This window comes from Homo sapiens, chromosome 14, assembly GCF_000001405.40.
Source record: "Homo sapiens chromosome 14, GRCh38.p14 Primary Assembly".
In the NCBI taxonomy this organism is placed as follows: domain Eukaryota; kingdom Metazoa; phylum Chordata; class Mammalia; order Primates; family Hominidae; genus Homo; species Homo sapiens.
The window spans coordinates 81,113,162-81,139,171 of record NC_000014.9 but is presented as its reverse complement, the minus strand read 5'-3'; the positions used below and the strand labels follow the sequence as shown (position 1 = coordinate 81,139,171).

The 26,010-nt window shown below is 40.2% G+C and overlaps 1 protein-coding gene and 1 long non-coding RNA gene across 9 annotated transcripts in view; one reads left to right on the top strand and one right to left on the bottom strand.

Annotated features, from left to right (window-relative positions):
* The window catches only part of TSHR (thyroid stimulating hormone receptor), a 190,686-nt gene that overhangs the window by 7,135 nt on the left and 157,541 nt on the right, over positions 1-26,010 (bottom strand). The gene's annotated exons all lie outside the window — the stretch shown is intronic.
* Positions 1-26,010, top strand: part of TSHR-AS1 (TSHR antisense RNA 1) — a 156,341-nt gene that overhangs the window by 31,235 nt on the left and 99,096 nt on the right. The window lies entirely within an intron of this gene.

Genomic DNA, 26,010 nt, shown 5'->3' with positions numbered 1-26,010 from the left:
TGGGAATTCATGACTGACAACATTTCCCCCCATCCCCCGCCACTCCAGTGTCTTTAGAAGACTGTAAATTGATTCTTGGAAAGAAAACTCAAGTGTTGATATTAACAATGTGAAATCAGATTCAAATCACTTCTGAGAACAATGGGGTGAGGGGGGTGGTGGTCAGGCTGGGAACATGTAGACATCAGTGTTAGTTACTAAAATAGAATGAATTCGTGGCATTAGTGTGGCATTCTCTGCTCTTTTCTGAATCCCAGAGAGTCCAGGTTCCATGTCTTGCTCCATCATTTTTATTGGCACCATTAATAGCTTGAATAAGGCCATGAATATTTAACCTAATATCCCTCCTATTTTATATTTTGTCAATTAAAATATTCCTCATAGAAGATAATTCCATTTAAAATATTTAATATAATTAATAGTATCCAATTAGCTAGTGAATTCCATTATTTTCCATTTCCTCCCCCCACATCGTTGTAATTGGACTTAGCTGGGGTTTACATTCTCAAGGTTCAAGGCCGTCAGAACTTAAAGCTCATGTATTAACCCCATTCTCACCACAGGACTGTTACTCTTGTGAGGAAAGGGTTGGTGCAGTTGCTATTTTGTTTTGTATTTAATTAAAAAAATATATAATCTAGCATTTTCCAAACTGGTCTGCTGGTAAGAATTACCCTTGGTGCTGCTGGGTGCGGTAGCTCACGCCTGTAATCCCAGCACTTTGGTAGGCTGAGGCGGGCGGATCACGAGGTCAGGAGTTCAAGACCAGCATGGCCAACATAGTGAAACCCCATCTCTACTAAAAACACAAAAATTAGCCGGGTATGGTGGCACGTGCCTGTAGTCCCAGCTACTCAGGAGGCTGAGGCGGGAGAATCACTTCAACCTGGGAGGCGGAAGTTGCAGTGAGCTGAGACCACGCCATTGTACTCCAGCCTGGGTGACAAAGTGAGACTCTGTCTCAAAAAAAAAAAAAAAAAAAAATTACCCTTGGCGCTTGTTCCTGTATTATTCCCAGGTGATTTTTAACATTAGACATTTATAAACTGGCATAAATAAACACCTTTGCGGTTAGTGAGAGAGTGGAGGGACTTTTGAGCCAGACTTAAGCACAGTTGTGAAGAAAATGAATCTGGGTTTGCTCTCTGGCCTCATCCGTCCTTTTTGAGGCATGTCTTTCTCTTTTAGCCATGCTGTCTTCAAGGTGTGGCCATCTTTCAATTCCAGCTTTCTGGAAGCATCTTAGGTTGCCTTTCCCAGTGATGCTTTCACGTCAGTGAAACGGGAGAGCATCTCATGGCTCATTTCCCTGCTTTGTTGTCTGCTAGATACACTGATTGTGTGTGTTCATCTGAAAGAGTTCATCCAAGTAATGTGTTTGCATTTTAATACATATTTCTTGAGAAAACATGTTAGTAATTATTTCAGTTACTGCGTGACAAAACACCCCAAAACTAAGTGGCATAAAGCAACAATCTTTTTATTATGAGCATAGGTTTTATGGATCATTAATTTGAACAGGGAATGGTGGGGATAGGTTGTCTCTGTTCTGTGATGTCTGGGGCGTCAGCTGGGAAGATCTGGAGTCTGGGATGACTCAATGCCTGGGGGTTGGGATTATCTGCAATTTCCTTCACTGGCATGTCTGGTGCCAGGGCTGAGGTGACTCAAAGACTGAGCTCAGCTGGGACTGTTGCTGTGGCTACTCCATGTGGCTTGACCTTCCCACATTATGTCAGCCAGATTCTAAGAGAACTATCAAATTCAAGGGCAGAGGACATACAGTCCACCTCTTAATGGGAAGAGTGTCAAAGAATTCGGTGCCTTCTTTTAAAACTGCCCTAATGTTCTAAGTGATGGAGACAGCATTGAGGCAGATAATTTGGGGAAAAACTGGCAGTTTATCACTCTGCAAATCAGCATTTCTAGTCCAGGGATCACTCTGGACCAGCATCAGAATCACCTGTAATACAGATTGAGACACATTCCAGACCAAATGAATTATAATCTCTGTTTGTGGAGGCTGGGAATCTGCATTATTTAAGATGCTCTCCAGGTGATTCAGAAGCTGGTTTCAATTCTCAAAGCATTTTTATGAAGCGGGCAGATACTAAAATTCAGACAAAGAAATAAGGGATGTTGTGTCCAAAAAGATACAGTGAACCAAGGGTGGAGTCATAAGTATCATTTGGGTCTGGAGTTCTCAGCTTCAGTGTCCCAGGAGCTAGTCTTCACTTTCAGGTCTTTGGAGTCTTTGAACACAGATCCAGGTGCAGTAAGTCTCCATGGACTCATTAGGAATCTGGGAGGGAAGATTCCAAAGTTTGTCTGAGTATATGTAATGACATATCCCAGGTGGCCTCTAAGTTAGGTCCCACTCGGGCTGAACTGGGAGGGTGCTTGGGCAGGCAAGGAGAAAGTAGATGTTGGGAAATGTGGGTGCTTGGCATATGGTAGGTGCTCAATAATTGTTAATTTCCTCCTTGTCCCAATTTGAAGTTTATCTGAGCTGAAGCCAAAAGCAATGAAGTTGGCAAATACAGCTCCAGTCCAGACCTCAACTTGTATATCCAACTGCTTATTTGATATCTCCACCTGGATGCCTCACAGGCGTCTCCAACTTAATAGGGCCTTTCAAAACTTATCTTTTCATCCTTTGCCCTTAGCTCAACCTGCTCCTCCTCTATTTCCCCCCAACATGGTAATTGACACTCTCATCCACTTGATTGCTCAAATTAGTAACCTTGAGGAATGTTGGATTTCCTCAAGACCATTGTCCCATCCACATTTAATCTTGCAAAACACCTATGATTCTGAACTCCAAAGGAATCTCAAATCCACGTATTTGCATCTCCAGTGTAAGCTTTCTAGTCCAAGCTAACATTATCTCTTACTGAAATATCTTTCCTGTCCACTTTTATTCTTTTTCAATCCATTCCTCACATAGTAGCCAGAGTAATCATAACATATGAATTGAGTAATGTCACTTTCCTGCCTAAAGGCCTACAGTGACTTCTCAACGTACCATGAATAACATCCACGCTTCCTACCATGCCCTTTAAGGTCTTGCAGATCTAGCACTGGACTACCTCTGTAGTCTCATCTCAGAGCTCTAAGGCCACTTACAGACAAAATTAGAATCTATTATACTTGAAGACATCTTAATCCTCACTTGTCATCGTTCTAAGTATCCATTAGGCATGCTGCACCTTAAGTGTTCCTGTGCAGTCCACCCACACTATCTCTGCACTTTCAGGGTCAAGCAGGGGGAACAACTGCCTTTTTTCTTTTTTGATTTAACCACCCTTGCAGTGATCTGCAGTTTTAATCAGACAGTCTGGTTGCTATCAGACAGAAAGGTAGGAGCTCCTCTGTACTTCTCTATGGATCTAGCACTGCCTCTCCACTCAAAATATCTCAAATAGAATGATTCTTGCCTTGAAGCTTACTGGAATGTCTTTATTTCTTGTCTTCCATCTACCACTTTCCAGGGCTTGAAGCTTCGATGTCCTTGTGGAGTCTCTCTTGCCCTTGCCCTACGTTCATGCCGTGAATATTTACAACAACATGAAATTGTGCTAAGAACCCCCCACCCCAATCAGATGTGAGCCCAGCTGTTGCACATCTACAATTTCATGGTTCTCATTGCTACCACCTTAGTTTAGGTCTGAACTACATTTCACCTGAGTTTTGCAAAAACTTTGTGACTGGTCTCAGAAATCTTCCACTATTCTGATTTTAGGAACTTAGGAAAGAATGTTTTTTCTAAAGGACATTAGGAAAGACTTAGGAAAGAATGTCCTTTCTAAAACACAGATCTTATATTGCTTTCCAGCTTGAAATCCATGCCTCCTTTAATATCTACAGAATGAAGTTCAAGCTTCTTAGGAGACTATTTCCCCTCTCCCCAGTGGGAGTCTCTTTCTGAATCTTGTGTCATCTTTTTTCTTGATTTTCTCTCCTAGAGCACATTTTCAAGTAATTTCTTAGGCTGTGTGAAGGAGATATTTTCTGAGTCTTTGCATGTCTGAAAATGACCTTATTTTTTTCTACCCTTATATTCAATTGGTACTTTAGCTGGCTATAAAATTTAAGGTTGCAAATCGCCTTTCTTCAGAATTTTAAAGGCTTTATCATATTCTAGCACCCATTGATGCTTTTGGTAAGTATGACCCCATTCAAATTCTTATTCTTTGGTCATTGACTTGTTATTACTTCTGGAAGCTTCTCAGACCTTCTCTTTATCCCTGGTGTGACATTTCATGAAGGTGTACCTTGATAGGAATCTTTTTCCATTTATTATAATGGGCACTGGGGGAAGACAGGCCCCTTCAATCTGAAGACCTTTGTTCTTCACTGCTAGGAAATTTTCTTGTATTGTTTATGGGATAACTTATTCTCATTTTATCTGTTTTGTCTCTGGAATTCTTAATAAGAGGAAAAGGCACCTCCTGGTCCATCAGACATATCTCCATTTTTTCTTGGAATTTTCTCCTATTACTTTTATTAAATTGCCTGGTAAAATTCCTTGAGTGCATCTTCCATCTCTTCTACTAAATTTTTAATTTTAGCTTCATGAGAGCTGAAATACTGCCTGTTCTGTTTATTGCCGTATTTTTGGTACCTAGACTGGTGTTTAGCCAACAGAAGACTCTAAACACATACTTGTTAAATACCTGAATAGATTTTTTAAGAGCACTTTCTTGTGTTCTGTTCCTTTTAAAAACAGCGTATTTGGTTGGGTGCGGTGGCTCACATCTGTAATCGCAGCACTTTGGGAGGCTGAGGCGGGTGGATCACCTGAGGTTGGGAGTTTGAGACCAGCCTGACCAACATGGAGAAACCAGTATCTACTAAAAATTCAAAATTAGCCGGGCATGGTGGCACATGCCTGTAATCCTAGCTACTCGGGAGGCTGAGGCAGGAGAAAATCGCTTGAACCCGGGAAGTGGAGGTCGTGGTGAGCCGAGATTGCACCATTGCACTCCAGCCTGGGCAACAAGAGCGAAACTCCTTCTAAAAATAAAAAATAAAAAAGAATAAAAAATAAAATGAAATAAAACCAGCATATTTGAGAAAGCATACCCCTTTGTTTAGGAACATGGGTTTTAAATTCACACTATCTGGACTTAAACCCTGGCTTCTGTGCTTACTATCAGTCACTGAAACTTTGTGTGCTGCAGTTTCCTTGTCTTGAGTTTGTTGAACAGTAGCTCTTAGTGTGTTCTCAATAAATATTAGCTATTATTTTTATTATTATTATCATGATTGTTATAGTGATAGGGATGAAATGTGTTCTCAGATTTATCTCAGGTCCTTAATTATTGCTTTGTTAAAGGTTCCTTTCTCTTTTCTGTGATTTCTTTGATTTCTCCAGGCTCATTTCCCCGCCATTTGTGTATCTTGGTTTTGATCTTCCATGTTAGGAGCATTCTTTGACTGGAGATCTCTGGTTGCACACATTCGTATTTAAGAGGGTGCTTTTCTGTTGGCAGACTTTGCTTTAGGGTAATTGTTTAGGGAGCTGGCCATTATGTTGGTAGACCCTAAAGTGCCAGAATGTGAATGTCTTTTTTGTTTTAGGATTTCTCAACCTCTTCAGCTTAGTGGGGAGGTACTTGGCTGTTGGAATTTTGCATAAATAGAGTACAGGATTAATGCTTCCAGATATAAACTTTCAGTTAACCCTTCTGTTTTCAGTCCCATGTCTTACTCTTACCACATGCCATACCCATCACCTCTAAGTCCTATTCCTCCCAGAGATTTTACAGAGCAAGGCAGCAGTCTCTGACTACGCTCCCTCTGAGTACTGTGAGTTTTGCCTTCCTTCTTTTCTATTTTTCTTCATTCTGAATTCTGTAGCTCTTCAGACCATGGATGGGCTCTCACCTGTCTTCTGTGAATGTATGCATAGTAAAAATTCTTGTGGATGTATAAATAGGAAAAACTCCTTTCTCATCTTTTTAAGGGGATCTCAGGAGGGAGAGAAAATAAAATCTTAGGTGTAATGCTTCATCTTTAACTTTTAATCACTACTGTATTTAGCACACAGAACTGTGCAAGAGCTTGGAACAAATACTTGTTGAGTACTGAGCCACATTTGATAGTCTCCCAATTCTGGAGTTGTCGGAGAATAAATCTCAGTCTGAAGAGATCCTCAAACTCAACAAGTCAGGAATCATTTTAAGTTATTTGAGGCTGTATTTTTTCCCACTCACCCAAAGTTTTATTTGGTTACTTCAAATCCAGGATTTTTAAATAGTGTGTACCTTCTTTCCTAAAATAAACCTGTCAACATGTAGTATTTTTTTTTTTTTCTGAGTAAGAAGAATATAAAGAGTTGTTATGGGTGATGAAGGGGTCTGAAATCACTTGTGGATGTAGCCATATGGATAGAAAGCTACAAGCTGGAGGGCTTCCCTCTGTTTTGTTGACTCTGGCACTCTCTTCAAAGAGCTCATCAAGCAATGGGCATTGAACTCCATGAGAATTTGTCTCTAGCAAGTATTTACTCGCAAATCAGAATGCAGCTGAGCTGAGTCTGGCAGATGGTTTGAAGTCTAATTGCCTAGGTCGTGGGAATAATCTCGAGTTAAGTGTCTAATGAAAGTAACAGGACCTGAATTTGGAGAGAGTGAGTCCTGCAGTATTATATACAGAGAAGAATATCATGAGATTTTAATGATGCCAGGAAAAAAAAGAGCTAACTACGTTTAATGTCATAGGAAGAGCAAATTGAACCTCAAAAGCAATTATGCCCTCTAGTATCCCCAAACATTGGAACTATTTTTATTTTTTGAGAGATATTTTGTCATTGATTATTATTTAAGATTAATTTATGATAAATTCAATTGCAAATTAAAGAAGCACTAATTGGCTTGCCAGTGTTCCAACAGCAATTGCAAGTGTCTTTTCTGTTTGCTTGTCATGAAAGTAGGTTTTCCCAAAGGTCAATATGTGGAAGCTGCTCCATTATAAATGCGCAGTTACATCTGTAAATTGGTAAATGAAATGCATCTAAGAGCAGAAAGATTAATTTACTGTTTAAAATACAATGTAATTAATTTATTAATATTGAATTGAAAAATAAGTTAAAGGTTTAAAAGGTATAAATTCAAGACAGTGAGCTTGTCTATTAATATGTTTAAATAATTTAGAAATGCAATATGCATTTATTTAGCAAGTACAGAATGTATTGATTGCTGTCTATGTCTCAAGTATAGTTCTAGAAGCTAGGGCTATAATAGTAAACTAAACAGGCAGAAATTCCTGCTCTCCTCATGCTTACATTCTAGTGGAGAAAAAGGTAATTTTTTCTTAAAAAAGTGAAGACATACAGTATGTTAGATGATAATGATAAGTACTATGGGGAAAAGGGGAACAGGGAAGAGAAAAGGCAGAGACCAGGAGTGGGTCACAATGAGAGATGAGGGGACAGTGTCAGGGAAGGCCTCATTGAGGAGATAGTTGAGGAGGTGTCTGAAGGAGGTGAGGGAGACAGCCAAGCTGATATCTGGAGCAAAAGCATTGCAGGCCAAAGGACCAGCAGTGTAAAGACTGTGAGGAGTGCACCTGGTATATTTGAGGAAGCAAGGAGGCCAGTGTTGCTGGTGCTGAGACGGTGAGGGCATAGAACATGTGGGAGAAGTCAGCGGACGTATTGGGAGCCAGATCATGTGTGGCCTTGTAGGCTGTCGAAAGAACATTACATTTTCATGGAAGTGAGATCAAAAGGCTGCAGAGGAATGGTATAATCTGACTTATTTAAAAAGGATCATGCTGGCTGCTGCTTTGAAAGTTACCAAAGTGAGTAAGGCGTGGAAACAGGGAGATCAAAAATAGAAAGGATGGTGCTTTGGACTAGGGTGGTAGCAGTGGAGATACTGAAAATGGTTGGAGTTTGTAGATATTTGAAAAGTAGAGCCATTGGGACTTTCTGATGGATGGGATATGGGGTATGTGAGAAAGAGAAGGGTTGAGAATGACTCCAAGATTTCTAGTCTGCAGCTGGGAGAATGAAGTTGCCATTTCCTGAGATGGGGAAGGCTGCAGGTGAGGCAGGTTTGGAGGGAATGATCAGAAATTCACTTTTGGGCATGTCAAGTTTGAGATGCCTATTAGACATCCAGATGGTGACGGCAGTCAAGCAGTGTTTTTTTTTTTTTTTTTTTTTGGAGACGGAGTCTCGCTCTGTCGCCCAGGCCGGACTGCGGACTGCAGTGGCGCAATCTCGGCTCACTGCAAGCTCCGCTTCCCGGGTTCACGCCATTCTCCTGCCTCAGCCTCCCGAGTAGCTGGGACTACAGGCACCCGCCACCGCGCCCGGCTAATTTTTTGTATTTTTAGTAGAGACGGGGTTTCACCTTGTTAGCCAGGATGGTCTCGATCTCCTGACCTCATGATCCACCCGCCTCGGCCTCCCAAAGTGCTGGGATTACAGGCGTGAGCCACCGCGCCCGGCCCAAGCAGTGTTTTATAAGCGTGGAATTTGGGAGAATTGTCTGGACTGGAGATTTCTATTTGGGTATCATAGGCATTAGGTAAATCCATACAAGTGGATAAGATCACCAAGGAAGTGAATGAAGATATAGATAAAAAGAATATCAAAGATGGAGGCCTGGGGCACTCCAACATTAAGAGATCAGGAAGAAGAAGAAGAAGAGCTAGAAAAACAGAGTAGGAAGGAACAATCAGAGGTATGGAGAAAAACCAAGAGAGAGTAGTGATTTGGAAGCCAAAAGAAGAATACATTCCAAGGAGGATGGAGTCAGCAACTGAGTCAAATGCCTCTGAAATAAGTACTAATTGGCCACTTGATTTAGCAATTGTGGAAGTCACTGTTGACCTGGTAAACGGAGTTTTAGTGGCATGGTGGGAAGTGAAAACCTGATTGGAGTGAGCATAACAGAAATTGGGATAGTTGCTGCAAAAAGACACAGATAAATAGGGCAGTAGGTGGAAGTAGATTTGAAGGAAGGGATATTTTAAAATTATAAATATTTCAATATTTTCTAAGAATTAAGGAATCTTTTAAAAATAAATAACATCTAAAACAATAACTCTTTAAGGCCGTGTAATATTCAATCATCAGTTTTCCAAGAAAGGCAAGGTAGTTCTTACCTTGTTTAAGTCAGATCCAAATAGACCCAGACATGGCATTCAACTGATGTCTTTTAGGTGTCTTTTAATCCATATTCACGAAACATTGTTTTAAGATGGAAGAAACTACAGCATGTTTATACACTGATGGGAAATAACTTAGTAGGGAGGGGAATACAGATGATTAGGGAAGAAGGGAGAGGATTGCTGAAGCAATGTCCTTGAGTTTTTGAGAGGCGATGGGATCTAGGGCCCCGGTGAAGGGGCCAGCCTTAAAAAGTGACTTAAAATACGGAAGAGAGGAGAAAGGATGTGGGCATAGACACAGGAAGATGGGTAGATGTGGTAGTGGGACATGAGGAGTTCTCTTTGGATTGATTTTATGCTCAGTGAAATGGAAATCAAGGTGATCAAGTGGACATGAGAATGAGGGAGAGGACTAGAGAACTGAAGAGAGGGGAGGCCATAGGACATGGTCATCCAACAGACTGGGAGAGGGAATGGGGAAGTGGGATGTGATTGCTGTGCAGCAGGTAGAGCCTGCTTGGGGTGAATGATTTAAGGTGAAATCACTTGCTATGTTCAGCTGCAAAAGCCCAGGCCTGCAGCAGGTGGGTGGTTAGACCTAACCAAGGTTGGGCTTGGCCAGAAGAGGCTGATGAGACAGAGAGGCAAGGTAGTTAGTTGGCTGCGTATACAAGTCAGTGTTTATAATGACAGAACATGGCATTTAAGCTGCATAAGGAAAGAGTGAGGATATGAGGGAGGTGAGAGACAGTGAAATGTTAGTAACAGACTGTAGATCCTGGCAGAACCAAAAAATTGAAGGATTAATGTATTCTAAGGAAAGAGATAGAAAGAGAGCAGGATGTTTAAGATTAAGGTTATGGAGGCTTTGTAGTCATTGGTCATGACAGGTCTAGTGAAGCCTGGAAGTACAATGAAGGGCAGGCTTATTGGGGGAGTGGAGCTCGGAGGTCAAGGTATAGGAAAGATAATCCATGTGGATATTGAAATAACCAAAGTTAGGACAGGAGCAGTGTTGGAGGAAAAAAATATTATATATAGGGTTAGGGAGTATCCTCTGTTTCAGTCATCCCCTGTGGGTCTCGGAGCATATCCTCCATGAGTAAAGGGGGTACCACTGTAGGCAAATGTCTAGAATGTCAGATGGTAATAAGCATCATGGGGAAAAATAAAACAGGGAAGTGGGATGAAGAGTGGTGGGCAGTTTGCAAACTTAAATAGGGCATTCAGGGAAGATCTCAATGAGAAACTTACCCTTAAGCAAAGACTTGTATCAGACGAAGGAGACAGCTATGGATATCTGGGGAGAGGGCTCTCTGGCAGAGAAAACAACTAGTGCCCAACCCCTAAGGTGGGAACATGCCATGTGTCCTATTCAGTGTGGCTGGGGTAGAACCATGAGGAGGAAAGAAATAGGAGGTAGGATGAGAGAATACGTGGCATGGGTGGGAGACAAACAGCACAGGTCTTTGAAGGCTATTTGTGAGGACTTTGTCTCTTTAAAAATGAAGATGGTAAAGCACCACTGGAGGCTTTTAAGCAGAAATTTAAGAAGATGATCAAGTAAAGTTGCAGAATTACAACAGGTGCAAGAATAATCTTACATAAAAGGGGTTGACCTGATGTACCAGGAAGAGATCGTGTTTTGGAGTTAGTTAATACTGAATTTCTATCCTAGTATTTCCCTTATGGCCAGGTGACCTCGGGGGACTTACCTGATATCTCTGCACCAGTTTCCTTATTTGTTAAATAGGAATAAGAATACTTTCTATTGAATAGTTAGGCCCAAAGTGATAGACTATCTGTAAAGAACCCAGCACAAAGCTAATGCTCAAAAATGACTTATTATTAACAAGAAAATTCGTGTCTGACTATTCAGAAAATTGATCAGAAATTATGAATCTTTTCTTAAAGTCTATGTGTACAAATAAAATTGCTTTATAACTCAGATATTACTACAATCATTTCTTATAAGCCTATACTTTCCATGATCTATGAAATCTTTCAGCGTTTACTATTGCAACATAATGGATTCTGCAATGGAAAATTGCCGTATCCTGTAAGTTGGTGAGTCAGCATTCTACCACACAGTGACAAAAGGAAACCAGGGCAATTTTTAGTCCATTTTCACACTGCTGATAAAGACATACCAGAGACTGGGTAATTTATAAAGAAAAAGGTTTAATGGACTCACAGTTCCACGTGGCTGGGGAACACAGTTGCCCAATGTGGACTCACAGTTCCACGTTGCCTCCCACCTCACAATCATGGTGGACGGCAAAAGGCAAAAGGCACGTCTTACATGGCGGCAGGCAAGAGAGGGAATGAGAGCCAAGTGAAAGGGGGAACCCCTTATAAAACGATCAGATTTTGTGAGACTTATTCACTACCATGAGAACAGTATAGAAGAACCACCTCCATGATTCAATTATCTCCCACTGGGTCCCTCCCACAACATGTGGGAATTGTGGGAGCAAAAATTCAAGATGAGATTTGGGTGGGGACACAGCCAAACCGTATCAACTGCCAATAGTCTGAAGCTGAAACACAAGCATAGCCTCCTCCTCAATGTTGAATCCCCTCCCTTCTCAACCTCACAACCCCTACACACACCCAAAATGATCATCATCATACTGGCAAAAGGGTCAGGCTCAATGCTGCTTGTGGGAGATAAAAGGTCCACTTTTTTTTAAGTGTTTATTTCTTTTAGACTCAGAGGCAGAATGTAATTAACAAAATAGATTTCCATGTCCTGGCAGAGATAGTGTGTCAGATGACAATGCTTGATTATTTCCTCCCACCTGATCTAGGAGTAAACTCCCAGAAAAGTGAAAACATTTAGTACCCATCCACATTTACTTGGGAAGAACTGTGTGCCTAATTCTACATGCTAAAAACTGCTTTTTGTGTTTCTGTTATTTATTCAAAAATTTAATCCAAGGTTGATTTATACCTGTCATTATTTAGCCTGTTGCCAGCATCCTCCAATTAATTGTAAAATCACAAGTAAAACCTGCTACAGAACATAGTATACATGGCTTTTGCCTTTACTATTTGGTCCTATGCAGTCTTGTTTCTCTTCTTTCATTATACAGATAATTGAGACTTGAAATGGGCAAAATCACCCAAAATTGAGAAGAGTGTGTGGAGAAGTCAGAATCTTTTGGGGTTGGAAGGCTGAAATCAAATTTATGTAAAAATAGCACAGAGCCTAGCGGGCACTCACTAAAAGGTAGAGTTATTTATACATAAAATTGCAAAGAAGGAACAGTGAAGAAGTAATTATCGTCCTACTTGCTCAACAAAGAACAAACTTCAGATTCTTTACTGTTACGAGCTCCTGGCTAAAGAGGGATAATTAGTTAATAAAATGGTTCAGAATTTACAAGGTTTAGAACATTTTGGCAGTGTTGTTTTCCTAGTATTCATTCTCAGCAAAAATTCTTTTATGTTCTACCAGTTTTTGTCAAGGTAAAAAGCCCTTACTTAAATAAGTAACTTTAGCAAAACCATGCTAAAGAAATATTTTATGAATTTGCAAATTATTTTTAGAGAAGAAAAGCTATCTAGTTTACTTTTTGGCCTGGCATAGATAGGAAACATTTACTCAGACTGAATCCCCTAATATAAAATGCATGACCATTTGAGGCCATTGCTCTAGACAGTGGCTCCTGGTGTTTTGGAGAACTTTTATTTAAAGTAAAAATCTTTCGGGGATGATAGTAGTTGCACTGTTAGTCAGTTGAAGAGCTACAAAGGTTTGTATGATTTTGAGGATCTTTGCACTAACTGCTTTATCCCTCTCCCACCAGCAGGCAACCCACTAGTTGGGGACTGCTCTGCAAATAATTTCTCAATAGTTATGAAAGTAACCTTGCCAATATAGATTGCTGTGATTTAATGTATTAATTCTTTTTTCTCATAATAGTGGCTGTGGTAGTAGGAGATGCTACCAATCAATAAATTAGGATTTTGGGGGAAACCAAGTATCCTGAGTTGTCAATGTGACTCTTCTGTTCTGAAAATTCCTAGGGCTGAAGCAGACCATTCCCTGTTCTTGTCAAGAAGTCAGCATGCACACCATTCTGGAAAGATCATTGCCTACTCTCTCTCTCTTCAAATTCTTTCATGATCTTCCTTGCAGACCCTTTGCTGTGCCTCTGGAGATGTGAGCGTGTGACTTAGGAGGGATGACCTACTTCAGTTGCTTCCCCAACAACTCGGCTCCTTTGGCATGGGTCTGGCTTGGTGCCCAAGCTAGGTGTGCAAGACGGCAGTTTGTCTTGTGTTTGCAACTCATTTCACAGTCGGTGAGCAGGGCAGCCTAGCATGCAAGCCTCCCCTGGCTTTGCATCTGCAGGAGGTTCCCTTCTCCAAGGGAGCTGCACCAAGAGCTTCACTTGGTAAGCACAGAAAGAAAGTCAAGGAGCTCCAGGCTGATGAGGTATTTGGGGCTCAATTTCCCTCCCCTCAGAGGGAGATCCAGTCCCTGTCAAATTGCCAGGAGGTGCAGATTAGCAGTCCCAGCTCAGTGGCTGTGACAGAGGTATCAGCAATAATATAGTCAGGGCTGAGGCGAGTTGAGGGCCACAAACTTTAATCTGTTATGCAACTATTACTACTACTTCCACAGGGACCATCTTTACCTGCTGCGTCAGATTAGGTTGTCCATAATATGATTTCAACACAACATCCCAACACTATCCTTTTGCCTGAATTATGTAATTTTTTTTCCTCTGAACACATCCCATGTTTTCCTATAGACATGCCTTTGTTTTCTCTCATAACTCTATCACTGTCTGTTGCAATTCTGCTCCTCACCTGAAGCCCATCTCAAATACTATCTCCTTTAATAAAGCTTTTGCTGATCACCCTAACTAGAAATGGCATGTTCAGTCTCTAAATATCTCCTATGGCTTTTTACATTAAACTTATGTTACAGTTACTTATTCACATTTCTCCTAAATTTGACTGTAACCTTTTTAAAGCAGAGGCTGTGTCTTATCCTTATAACTACTGGAGCTCAGTAGGTGCTTAGTAAAATGGCTGTGGAATAAGTGAGTAAATGGACCATTTGCACTAGGGTTGGCAGAGAGCTGGTGGCCAGGACCAAAATTTTATTTAGGTCAAAAATTTTATCCTGGAACACAATTGAATAATAAAAAAACAAAAATCCAATGAAAATGGGCAAAAAATTTGAACAGAAACTGGGTAAAAGAAAATATACAAATAGCTGACAAGTGCATAAAAAGATGCTCAACATCATTAATAATCAGGGAAACACAAATTAAAACCACAATGAGAGACCCATTAGAATGGCTAGAATAAAAAAAAATGACAATTAAAAGCATTGGCCAGTATAAAATGCTCATACCTTGCTGGTGAGAATAGAAAATGAGACAACCCTTTTGGAAAACAGTATAGCAGTATTTCCTATAAAGTATACATAAAGACATATATATAGAGATATAAATCTATCCTATTACCTGTTAATTTTACTACTAAATTTTTATATTAGAAAAATAGCATGTCTATGGGAGGTGGGGTGAGGCATGAGGGAACTTTCTGGATAATGAAAATGTTCCAAGTCTTAATCAGGCTAGAGTAATATAGTTTTGTCGAATTGCATCAACCTGTACACTTAAAAAATTGTGTACGTTATTGTATGCAAATTATATTTAAAATATATGTTTGCTCAGGATCATCCTAGAAAATCGTGTATTCACCTGTGTCTTTCAGGCATGCCGGTAAGGACTCTGCCACAAATTTTCAGCCACCTAATAGTATTATCTTGTGAAGATCATGAAGAGTTTAAAAAAAAAAGAAAAAAAAGAAACCAAAGAAATATGACAGTGCCATGACCCTTGTATTAATTTGATCAGCTAAAAACAAGAAAAGTGTGTTTTTGAAGTTTATTTATGCTGATACCTGTAATGAAAACTCAAGGATATTATTACAGAGATTTCCTCTTCTTAGGAGGTACTTACTCAACAATATGCTAAATGCTATATTAAAGTGGGTTACATAATTTAGAATTTAGAGAACTCTGATTATTATGAAAGGCATTGCATTTCAGTGTGTTCTTTCCTCTGAGATTTAAAACACCAAGCACTTCTCTTTCAAAATAAGATAAAAAGAAAACAAGGTAATCAAAAATGGAAAGTATAAAAATGGAAAATGAGATTGCATATCTTGATTAAAAATCAATCAATAAAAAACCTTATTATACTTCCAAACTAAATTTATAAGTCTTTTTGAAAAACAGCAAATATTGGATAATAGATCCTCTGACTCTAGATATTGCACCTGCTTTAAATTAGATTATCTTTTGAGAAGTGACCTTGAAAAACAATGATTAAGTGGGTAAGTTTGACTTTTTAGACTATTAGACGTGACTGTATTCTCCCTCAAAAACCTTTATAAGGCAGAAATATATATGGCATCTGATTCTCTTTTCTTTAGATGGAGTTTACGATTTTTGAAGTTTGGCTTTGACAACAAATGACAATGAAATCATGGCTATTTGATATTTAGTTACAATTCATCCAATATTTATTGAGCACTTTCTGTCTTCTGTTTTGATACAGGAAGGTTATAAAAAGTATAAGACACCACTTATTTCCTCTGGGATCTTAAAATCTAATTATGGAAAGAAGCTATGTGGGAAAAAATAATGGAGATTTTGACAAAAGATCAAGACAAGAATTAAAGAGACATCACATGTCTATGTATGATTAGTTAACAAATTCATTTTCAGACAACAACTATGCTTGGAAGTTCAGGAATGAGACTGGACTCTTCTTTGTTCATTTCTTACTTTTCTCCTATTGACCTCTCACATGCTGACATCTCCATTGTCTTCTCTTCCTATGCTTTGTGGCTTTGTTATTAAATTAAGTGTTAATTTTTTTTTTTTTCTTAGACGGAGTCTTGCTCTGTCTCCCAGGCTACAGTACAATGGTGCAATCTCGGCTCACTGCAACCTCTGCTTCCCAGGTTCAAGCGATTCTCGTGCCTCAACCTCCCGAGTAGCTGGGATTACAGGCGCCTGCCACCGCGCCTAGCTAATTTTTGTATTTTTCAGTAGAGACGGCGTTTCACCATGTAGGCCAGGCTGGTCTTGAACTCCTGACCTCAAGTGATCCACACCGCCTCAGCCTCCCAAAGTGCTGGGATTACAGGCCTGAGCCACCACGCCCAGCCTAATTTTTATTAAAATAATGCATGGACCTATTTTTAAAAAGCAAATTATACTGGAAGCTTGTTAATACAAGAGGCAGCCCTTCCCTGCAGTCTGGTGTCTGATGTCCCAGAAGTAACCCCTTTTAACTTCTGGTATTTCCTTCCATAAGTGTAAGTATTTCTTGATGTATTGTTTTTAGGTTTTATCCGCTAACTCTCTACTATAGAAGATGAGGATTTGGCTTTCTTTTATCATCCCTCACCCCTACACATTTCCTCTCCTGACACACTCTTCTACTCTCCTGAAATAGTTTTGTGACATATTTGGTTAAACCCATATTCAGTACTGTGGTTATTGCAACTTTGCATATTGCGCTTTCATTTCCTTTGTCATGTAACTGTTTGTTTTTTTTTTCATAAGATGTCCATCTGTCTCTCTCTTTTTATTTGGGTGTCTTTGTTTGAACAAACCTCTTGCTAAGTTTTCTACATGCTCCAATGTTCTTTAAAACACCTCTCAAGGCCAGGAGCGGTGGCTCACACCTATAATCCCAGAACTTTGGTAGGCCTAGGCAGGTGGATCGCCTGAGGTCAAGAGTTCGAGACCAGCCTGGCCAACATGGTGAAACCCCATCTCTACTAAAAATACAAAAATTAGCCAGGTATGGTGTTGGCACCTGTAATCCCAGCTACTTGGGAGGCTGAGGCAGGAGAATTGCTTGAACCCGGGAGGTGGAGATTGCAGTGAGCTGAGATCGCACCATTGCACTCCAGCCTGGGTGACAGAGCAAGACTTCGTCTCAAAAAAAAAAAAAAAAAAAAAAAAAAAAAAAAAAAAAAAAAGGAAAAGAAAACACATCTCAAACCAGTTTTTCACACAATGAATTCCATCAAATAATCTATCAATCCTTTTATTTTTTTGAGACAGAGTCTTGCTCTGTCTCCCAGGCTGGAGTGCAGTGGTGCAATCTCGGCTCACTTGCAGCCTCCGCCTCCTGGGTTCAAACGATTCTCCTACCTCAGCCTCCCAAGTAGCTGGGACTACAATTATGCACCAACATGCCTGGCTAATTTTTGTATTTTTAGTAGAGATGGAGTTTCACCATGTTGGCTAAGCCGACCTCAAACTCCCGACCTCAAGTGATCCGCCTGCTTCTGTCTTCCAGAGTGCTGGGATTACAGGCATGATACACCGTGCCCAGCCAACCCTCTTTTATTTCTAGAAGACCTTCCTCTTGGAGTCTTCATTCTTCAGCTCTGATGTAGACATCATGTTCCCAAGATTCCTCAGACCTCCCTTTGTGGTCATCCTGGGGATTCTATTTGCTTCTTTCCTGTGTTGATCACTGTTTTAACAAAGTCCTCATTTTTCTTTTTCCTGGTTTATTCTCCAAGAAAAGGTGAACAGGAAATCAAGGTTTTGAGATTTTGCATGTGAGAAAATATCTTTATTTTATCAATCATACTTGATTGGTAGTTTGGAAATGACTTTCCCTTCAGAATTCAACAGGTGTATTCTATCTATGGTCTTCTTCAATGTCGCCATTGAGAAGGCTGAGGGCATTCCGATTCTCCCACCTGCACAGGCCACATGATTTCTCTGTCTAGACGCCTTTAATTTATTATTTTTATCCCATTGATTTCATGTTTTATGATGTACCTTCATGCCTCCCCACCCTTTTTTTTTGCCATATGGGTTCTCCGTGGGTCTTTTTATTCTGAAAATTCATTTTCTTTATTAATGGGAAATCTGCTACACTATTTTTCAGTTTTTGTTTTCTCTTCCTAAAACTTTTGTTAGTTGGGTTGTGGACCTCGTGGCTTGAATTTCTAATGTTCATGTTTTTTCTTTCCTCTATTTCATATTTTTTTGCTGTCTCTACTGAGTGCCATTTTTCCCTTTATCTTTAACAACTTCTGCTTACTTTTTTGGTTTTGGCTTTCATGTTTTTAATTTTCAAAAGCTCTTTTATTGTTTTCTGAATATTCCTGTATAAGGAATTGTTTTGCACATGTAAAACATTGTCTCTCTGAGGATATTTGTTATAACTTTCATGAAAGTTTTCTTCTGGTTCTTGCATTGTTTCTGTTCCTTCCAAGTTCCTTTTTCTGTTTATTTTAGTCCTTGTTTTTCATGTCACCACATCTATTCAACATAGTACTGGAAGTCCTAGTTAGAACAATTAGGCAATACAAATAAACGGCATCCAAATCCTAAAGAAAGAAGAGAAACTGTTTCTGAGTGCGGATGACATTATCTTATACAGAAAATCAGAAAGCCTCCACCAAAAACCTGTTAGAACTAAGAAATGAATTCAGTAAAGTTACAGGATACAAAGTCAACCTACAAAAATCAGTTGTGTTTCTATAAACAAACAATAAGCTATCAGAAAAAGAAACAAAGAAAACAATCCCATTTATAATGGCATCAAAACAAAACAAAAACTAGGAATAAATTTAAACCAAGGAGGTGAAAGATCTGTACACTGAAAACTCTAAGACATTGACGTTTTTCATGTCAATGGATTTCCTCGAAGGTCTGCTGGTTCTTGGATGTCTGTTCTTGTTTGTAAGGGAGGCCTATGGGAAGCTCTGTGTGTGGAAGCTTATTGGCTGGTGGGCATTACCATGGTGACTTTGGGAGACTATCAGTGATTCTTTTTTATTTTTTTATTTTTTTTATTATTATACTTTAAGTTTTAGGGTACATGTGCACATTGTGCAGGTTAGTTACATATGTATACATGTGCCATGCTGGTGCGCTGCACCCACTAACTCGTCATCTAGCATTAGGTATATCTCCCAATGCTATCCCTCCCCCCTCCCCCCACCCCACAACAGTCCCCAGAGTGTGATGTTCCCCTTCCTGTGTCCATGTGATCTCATTGTTCAATTCCCACCTATGAGTGAGAATATGCGGTGTTTGGTTTTTTGTTCTTGCGATAGTTTACTGAGAATGATGATTTCCAATTTCATCCATGTCCCTACAAGGGACATGAACTCATCATTTTTTATGGCTGCATAGAATTCCATGGCGTATATGTACCACATTTTCTTAATCCAGTCTATCCTTGCTGGACATTTGGGTTGGTTCCAAGTCTTTGCTATTGTGAATAGTGCCGCAATAAACATACGTGTGCACGTGTCTTTATAGCAGCATGATTTATAGTCCTTTGGGTATATACCCAGTAATGGGATGGCTGGGTCAAATGGTATTTCTAGTTCTAGATCCCTGAGGAATTGCCACACTGACTTCCACAATGGTTGAACTAGTTTACAGTCCCACCAACAATGTAAAAGTGTTCCTATTTCTCCACATCCTCTCCAGCACCTGTTGTTTCCTGACTTTTTAATGATTGCCATTCTAACTGGTGTGAGATGGTATCTCAATGTGGTTTTGATTTGCATTTCTCTGATGGCCAGTGATGATGAACATTTTTTCATGTGTTTTTTGGCTGCATAAATGTCTTCTTTTGAGAAGTGTCTGTTCATGTCCTTTGCCCACTTTTTGATGGGGTTGTTTGTTTTTTTCTTGTAAATTTGTTTGAGTTCATTGTAGATTCTGGATATTAGCCCTTTGTCAGATGAGTGGGTTGCAAAAATTTTCTCCCATTTTGTAGGTTGCCTGTTCACTCTGATGGTAGTTTCTTTTGCTGTGCAGAAGCTCTTTAGTTTAATTAGATCCCATTTGTCAATTTTGGCTTTTGTTGCCATTGCTTTTGGTGTTTTAGACATGAAGTCCTTGCCCATGCCTATGTCCTGAATGGTAATGCCTAGGTTTTCTTCTAGGGTTTTTATGGTTTTAGGTCTAACGTTTAAGTCTTTAATCCATCTTGAATTGATTTTTGTATAAGGTGTAAGGAAGGGATCCAGTTTCAGCTTTCTACATATGGCTAGCCAGTTTTCCCAGCACCATTTATTAAATAGGGAATCCTTTCCCCATTGCTTGTTTTTCTCAGGTTTGTCAAAGATCAGATAGTTGTAGACATGCGGCATTATTTCTGAGGGCTCTGTTCTGTTCCATTGATCTATATCTCTGTTTTGGTACCAGTACCATGCTGTTTTGCTTACTGTAGCCTTGTAGTATAGTTTGAAATCAGGTAGTGTGATGCCTCCAGCTTTGTTCTTTTGGCTTAGGATTCACTTGGCGATGCGGGCTCTTTTTTGGTTCCATATGAACTTTTAAGTAGTTTTTTTCCAATTCTGTGACGAAAGTCATTGGTAGCTTGATGGGGATGGCATTGAATCTATAAATTACCTTGGGCAGTATGACCATTTTCACAATATTGATTCTTCCTACCCATGAGCATGGAATGTTCTTCCATTTGTTTGTATCCTCTTTTATTTCCTTGAGCAGTGGATTGTAGTTCTCCTTGAAGAGGTCCTTCACATCCCTTGTAAGTTGGATTCCTAGGTATTTTATTCTCTTTGAAGCAATTGTGAATGGGAGTTCACTCATGATTTGGCTCTCTGTTTGTCTGTTGTTGGTGTATAAGAATGCTTGTGATTTTTGTACATTGATTTTGTATCCTGAGACTTTGCTGAAGTTGCTTATCAGCTTAAGGAGATTTTGGGCTGAGACAATGGGGTTTTCTAGATATACAATCATGTCGTCTGCAAACAGGGACAATTTGACTTCCTCTTTTCCTAATTGAATACCCTTTATTTCCTTCTCCTGTCTAATTGCCCTGGCCAGAACTTCCAACACTATGTTGAATAGGAGTGGTGAGAGAGGGCATCCCTGTCTTGTGCCAGTTTTCAAAGGGAATGCTTCCAGTTTTTGCCCATTCAGTATGATATTGGCTGTGGGTTTGTCATAGATAGCTCTTATTATTTTGAAATATGTCCCATCAATACCTAATTTATTGAGAGTTTTTAGCATGAAGGGTTGTTGAATTTTGTCAAAGGCCTTTTCTGCATCTATTGAGATAATCATGTGGTTTTTGTCTTTGGCTCTGTTTATATGCTGGATTACATTTATTGATTTGCGTATATTGAACCAGCCTTGCATCCCAGGGATGAAGCCCACTTGATCATGGTGGATAAGCTTTTTGATGTGCTGCTGGATTCATTTTGCCAGTATTTTATTGAGGATTTTTGCATCAATGTTCATCAAGGATATTGGTCTAAAATTCTCTTTTTTGGTTGTGTCTCTGCCCGGCTTTGGTATCAGAATGATGCTGGCCTCATAAAATGAGTTAGGGAGGATTCCCTCTTTTTCTATTGATTGGAATAGTTTCAGAAGGAATGGTACCATTTCCTCCTTGTACCTCTGGTAGAATTCGGCTGTGAATCCATCTGGACTCTTTGGTTGGTAAGCTATTGATTATTGCCACAATTTCAGCTCCTGTTATTGGTCTATTCAGAGATTCAACTTCTTCCTGGTTTAGTCTTGGGAGAGTGTATGTGTCGAGGAATTTATCCATTTCTTCTAGATTTTCTAGTTTATTTGCGTAGAGGTGTTTGTAGTATTCTCTGATGGTAGTTTGTATTTCTGTGGGATCGGTGGTGATATCCCCTTTATCATTTTTTATTGCGTCTATTTGATTCTTCTCTCTTTTTTTCTTTAGTAGTCTTGCTAGTGGTCTATCTATTTTGTTGATCCTTTCAAAAAACCAGCTCCTGGATTCATTAATTTTTTGAAGGGTTTTTTGTGTCTCTATTTCCTTCAGTTCTGCTCTGATTTTAGTTATTTCTTGCCTTCTGCTAGCTTTTGAATGTGTTTGCTCTTGCTTTTCTAGTTCTTTTAATTGTGATGTTAGGGTGTCAATTTTGGATCTTTCCTGCTTTCTCTTGTGGGCATTTAGTGCTATAAATTTCCCTCTACACACTGCTTTGAATGCGTCCCAGAGATTCTGGTATGTTGTGTCTTTGTTCTTGTTGGTTTCAAAGAACATCTTTATTTCTGCCTTCATTTCGTTATGTACCCAGTAGTCATTCAGGAGCAGGTTGTTCAGTTTCCATGTAGTTGAGTGGTTTTGAGTGAGATTCTTAATCCTGAGTTCTAGTTTGATTGCACTGTGGTCTGAGAGATAGTTTGTTATAATTTGTGTTCTTTTACATTTGCTGAGGAGAACTTTACTTCCAAGTATGTGGTCAATTTTGGAATAGGTGTGGTGTGGTGCTGAAAAAAAATGTATATTCTGTTGATTTGGGGTGGAGAGTTCTGTAGATGTCTATTAGGTCCGCTTGGTGCAGAGCTGAGTTCAATTCCTGGGTATCCTTGTTAACTTTCTGTCTCGTTGATCTGTCTAATGTTGACATTGGGGTGTTAAAGTCTCCCATTATTAATGTGTGGGAGTCTAAGTCTCTTTGTAGGTCACTCAGGACTTGCTTTATGAATCTGGGTGCTCCTGTATTGGGTGCATATATATTTAGGATAGTTAGCTCTTCTTGTTGAATTGATCCCTTTACCATTATGTAATGGCCTTCTTTGTCTCTTTTGATCTTTGTTGGTTTAAAGTCTGTTTTATCAGAGACTAGGATTGCAACCCCTGCCTTTTTTTGTTTTCCATTTGCTTGGTAGATCTTCCTCCATCCTTTTATTTTGAGCCTATGTGTGTCTCTGCACATGAGATGGGTTTCCTGAATACAGCACACTGATGGGTCTTGACTCTTTATCCAATTTGCCAGTCTGTGTCTTTTAATTGGAGCATTTAGTCCATTTACATTTAAAGTTAATATTGTTATGTGTGAATTTGATCCTGTCATTCTGATGTTAGCTGGTTATTTTGCTCGTCAGTTGATGCAGTTTCTTCCTAGTCTCGATGGTCTTTACATTTTGGCATGATTTTGCAGCGGCTGGTACCGGTTGTTCCTTTCCATGTTTAGCGCTTCCTTCAGGAGCTCCTTTAGGGCAGGCCTGGTGGTGAGAAAATCTCTCAGCATTTGCTTGTCTGTAAAGCATTTTATTTCTCCTTCACTTATGAAGCTTAGTTTGGCTGGATATGAAATTCTGGGTTGAAAATTCTTTTCTTGAAGAATGTTGAATATTGGCCCCCACTCTCTTCTGGCTTGTAGGGTTTCTGCCGAGAGATCCACTGTTAGTCTGATGGGCTTCCCTTTGAGGGTAACCCGACCTTTCTCTCTGGCTGCCCTTCACATTTTTTCCTTCATTTCAACTTTGGTGAATCTGACAATTATGTGTCTTGGAGTTGCTCTTCTCGAGGAGTATCTTTGTGGCATTCTCTGTATTTCCTGAATCTGAACGTTGGCCTGCCTTGCTATATTGGGGAATTTCTCCTGGATAATATCCTGCAGAGTGTTTTCCAACTTGGTTCCATTCTCCACATCACTTTCAGGTACACCAATCAGATGTAGATTTGGTCTTTTCACATAGTCCCATATTTCTTGGAGGCTTTGCTCATTTCTTTTCATTCTTTTTTCTCTAAACTTCCCTTCTCGCTTCATTTCATTCATTTCATCTTCCATCGCTGATACCCTTTCTTCCAGTTGATCACATCGGCTCCTGAGGCTTCTGCATTCTTCATGTAGTTCTCGAGCCTTGGTCTTCAGCTCCATCAGCTCCTTTAAGCACTTCTCTGTATTGGTTATTCTCGTTATACATTCTTCTAAATTTTTTTCAAAGTTTTCAACTTCTTTGCCTTTGGTTTGAATGTCCTCCTGTAGCTCAGAGTAATTTGATCGTCTGAAGCCTTCTTCTCTCAGCTCGTCAAAGTCATTCTCCGTCCAGCTTTGTTCCGTTGCTGGTGAGGAACTGCGTTCCTTTGGAGGAGGAGAGGCACTCTGCTTTTTAGAGTTTCCAGTTTTTCTGTTCTGTTTTTTCCCCATCTTTGTGGTTTTATCTACTTTTGGTCTTTGATGATGGTGATGTACAGACGGGTTTTTGGTGTGGATGTCCTTTCTGTTTGTTAGTTTTCCTTCTAACAGACAGGACCCTCAGCTGCAGGTCTGTTGGAGTACCCTGCCATGTGAGGTGTCAGTGTGCCCCTGCTGGGGGGTGCCTCCCAGTTAGGCTGCTCGGGGGTCAGGGGTCAGGGACCCACTTGAGGAGGCAGTCTGCCTGTTCTCAGATCTCCAGCTGCGTGCTGGTAGAACCACGGCTCTCTTCAAAGCTGTCAGACAGGGACATTTAAGTCTGCGGAGGTTACTGCTGTCTTTTTGTTTGTCTGTGCCCTGCCCCCAGAGGTGGAGCCTACAGAGGCAGGCAGGCCTCCTTGAGCTGTGGTGGGCTCCACCCAGTTCGAGCTTCCCTGCTGCTTTGTTTACCTAAGCACGCCTGTGCAATGGTGGGCGCCCCTCCCCCAGCCTCGCTGCCGCCTTGCAGTTTGATCTCAGACTGCTGTGCTAGCAATCAGGGAGACTCCGTGGGCGTAGGACCCTCCGAGCCAGGTGCGGGATATAATCTCGTGGTGCGCCGTTTTTTAAGCCCGTCGGAAAAGCGCAGTATTCGGGTGGGAGCGACCCGATTTTCCAGTTGCCGTCTGTCACCCCTTTCTTTGACTAGGAAAGGGAACTCCCTGACCGCTTGCGCTTCTGGAGTGAGGCAATGCCTCGCCCTGCTTTGGCTCGCGCACAGTGCACGCACCCACTGACCTGTGCCCACTGTCTGGCACTCCCTAGTGAGATGAACCTGGTACCTCAGATGGAAATGCAGAAATCACCCGTCTTCTGCGTCGCTGACGCTGGGAGCTGTAGACCGGAGCTGTTCCTATTCGGCCATCTTGGCTCCTCCCCCCCAGTGATACTTTTTGTAGGTTTTTTTTTTTTTTCTTTTCCTTGGGCCTGTCAGCTTCCTCAGTACTCTCATCTCTTACTTGGAAGGTATACATTTTGCCAATATTCTATGAGTTGAGTGAGTGGATAAGAGGATTGTTATTCTTACATTTTAGAATGTAAATTTTCATATAATCCTGTTTTCAGAACAGTACCTGCCTTCTAACCCCAACTGTGCTTATTCTCCTTGAGTCTTGGTGATGACATTTTAACAGAAAGAAAATTCTAGTCTTTTTTCTGGGATGAGTAAGAAGTAGTGCTTGACTGTGCAGAATGAGACTGACCAGCTTCAGTGTCACCTATATTCTCATTTGCAGAACACTTAAGATTTAATTGATAAAATATTTCCTAGATTTTGTGATTTGAATTAGCTTGCATTTTATTGATTTCACCCATGCAAGTACTTAGCGTGCAGCTCTCTCTTGGTTTTTGAAGACATTCATCATTTACTCACATGATCACCTTTCCTACTCTTTGTCATTAAAAATACATGCTTTTTAATGTATTTATATTTTCTCAGAAGTACTGTCATTTTAATGTTGTTTAAAAAAAGATCAGGGAAATCACATTGGTGGGGAAAGTTCAGAAGTCTCAATTCTATTCATTTTTTGAGATTTCTTCTATACCTGTATCCCCTCATCACCAGCTACATTCCAAAGAGTCTCAAATATATCTCTAGCCCTGACCCCTATTGTGACTTTTGAACCCACATATATCACTGCCTGCCTGCATGCATCATGGGACCTCAAACTAACTTCCCCTATCTCAGGAAATAGTGATCTCATTCTCCTAACTGCTCAGTCAAAAATAATTACAGTTCTCCTTGATTCCTTCGTTTCTCTCATCATCTGCTATATCCGATCCATCAGCATGTCCTGTTGGCTTTACCTTAAAAAATATAGTCAGGATCAGATTATTTCTCATCATCTCTACTGCTGCTGTCTTAGTGCAAACTACTTTCATCTC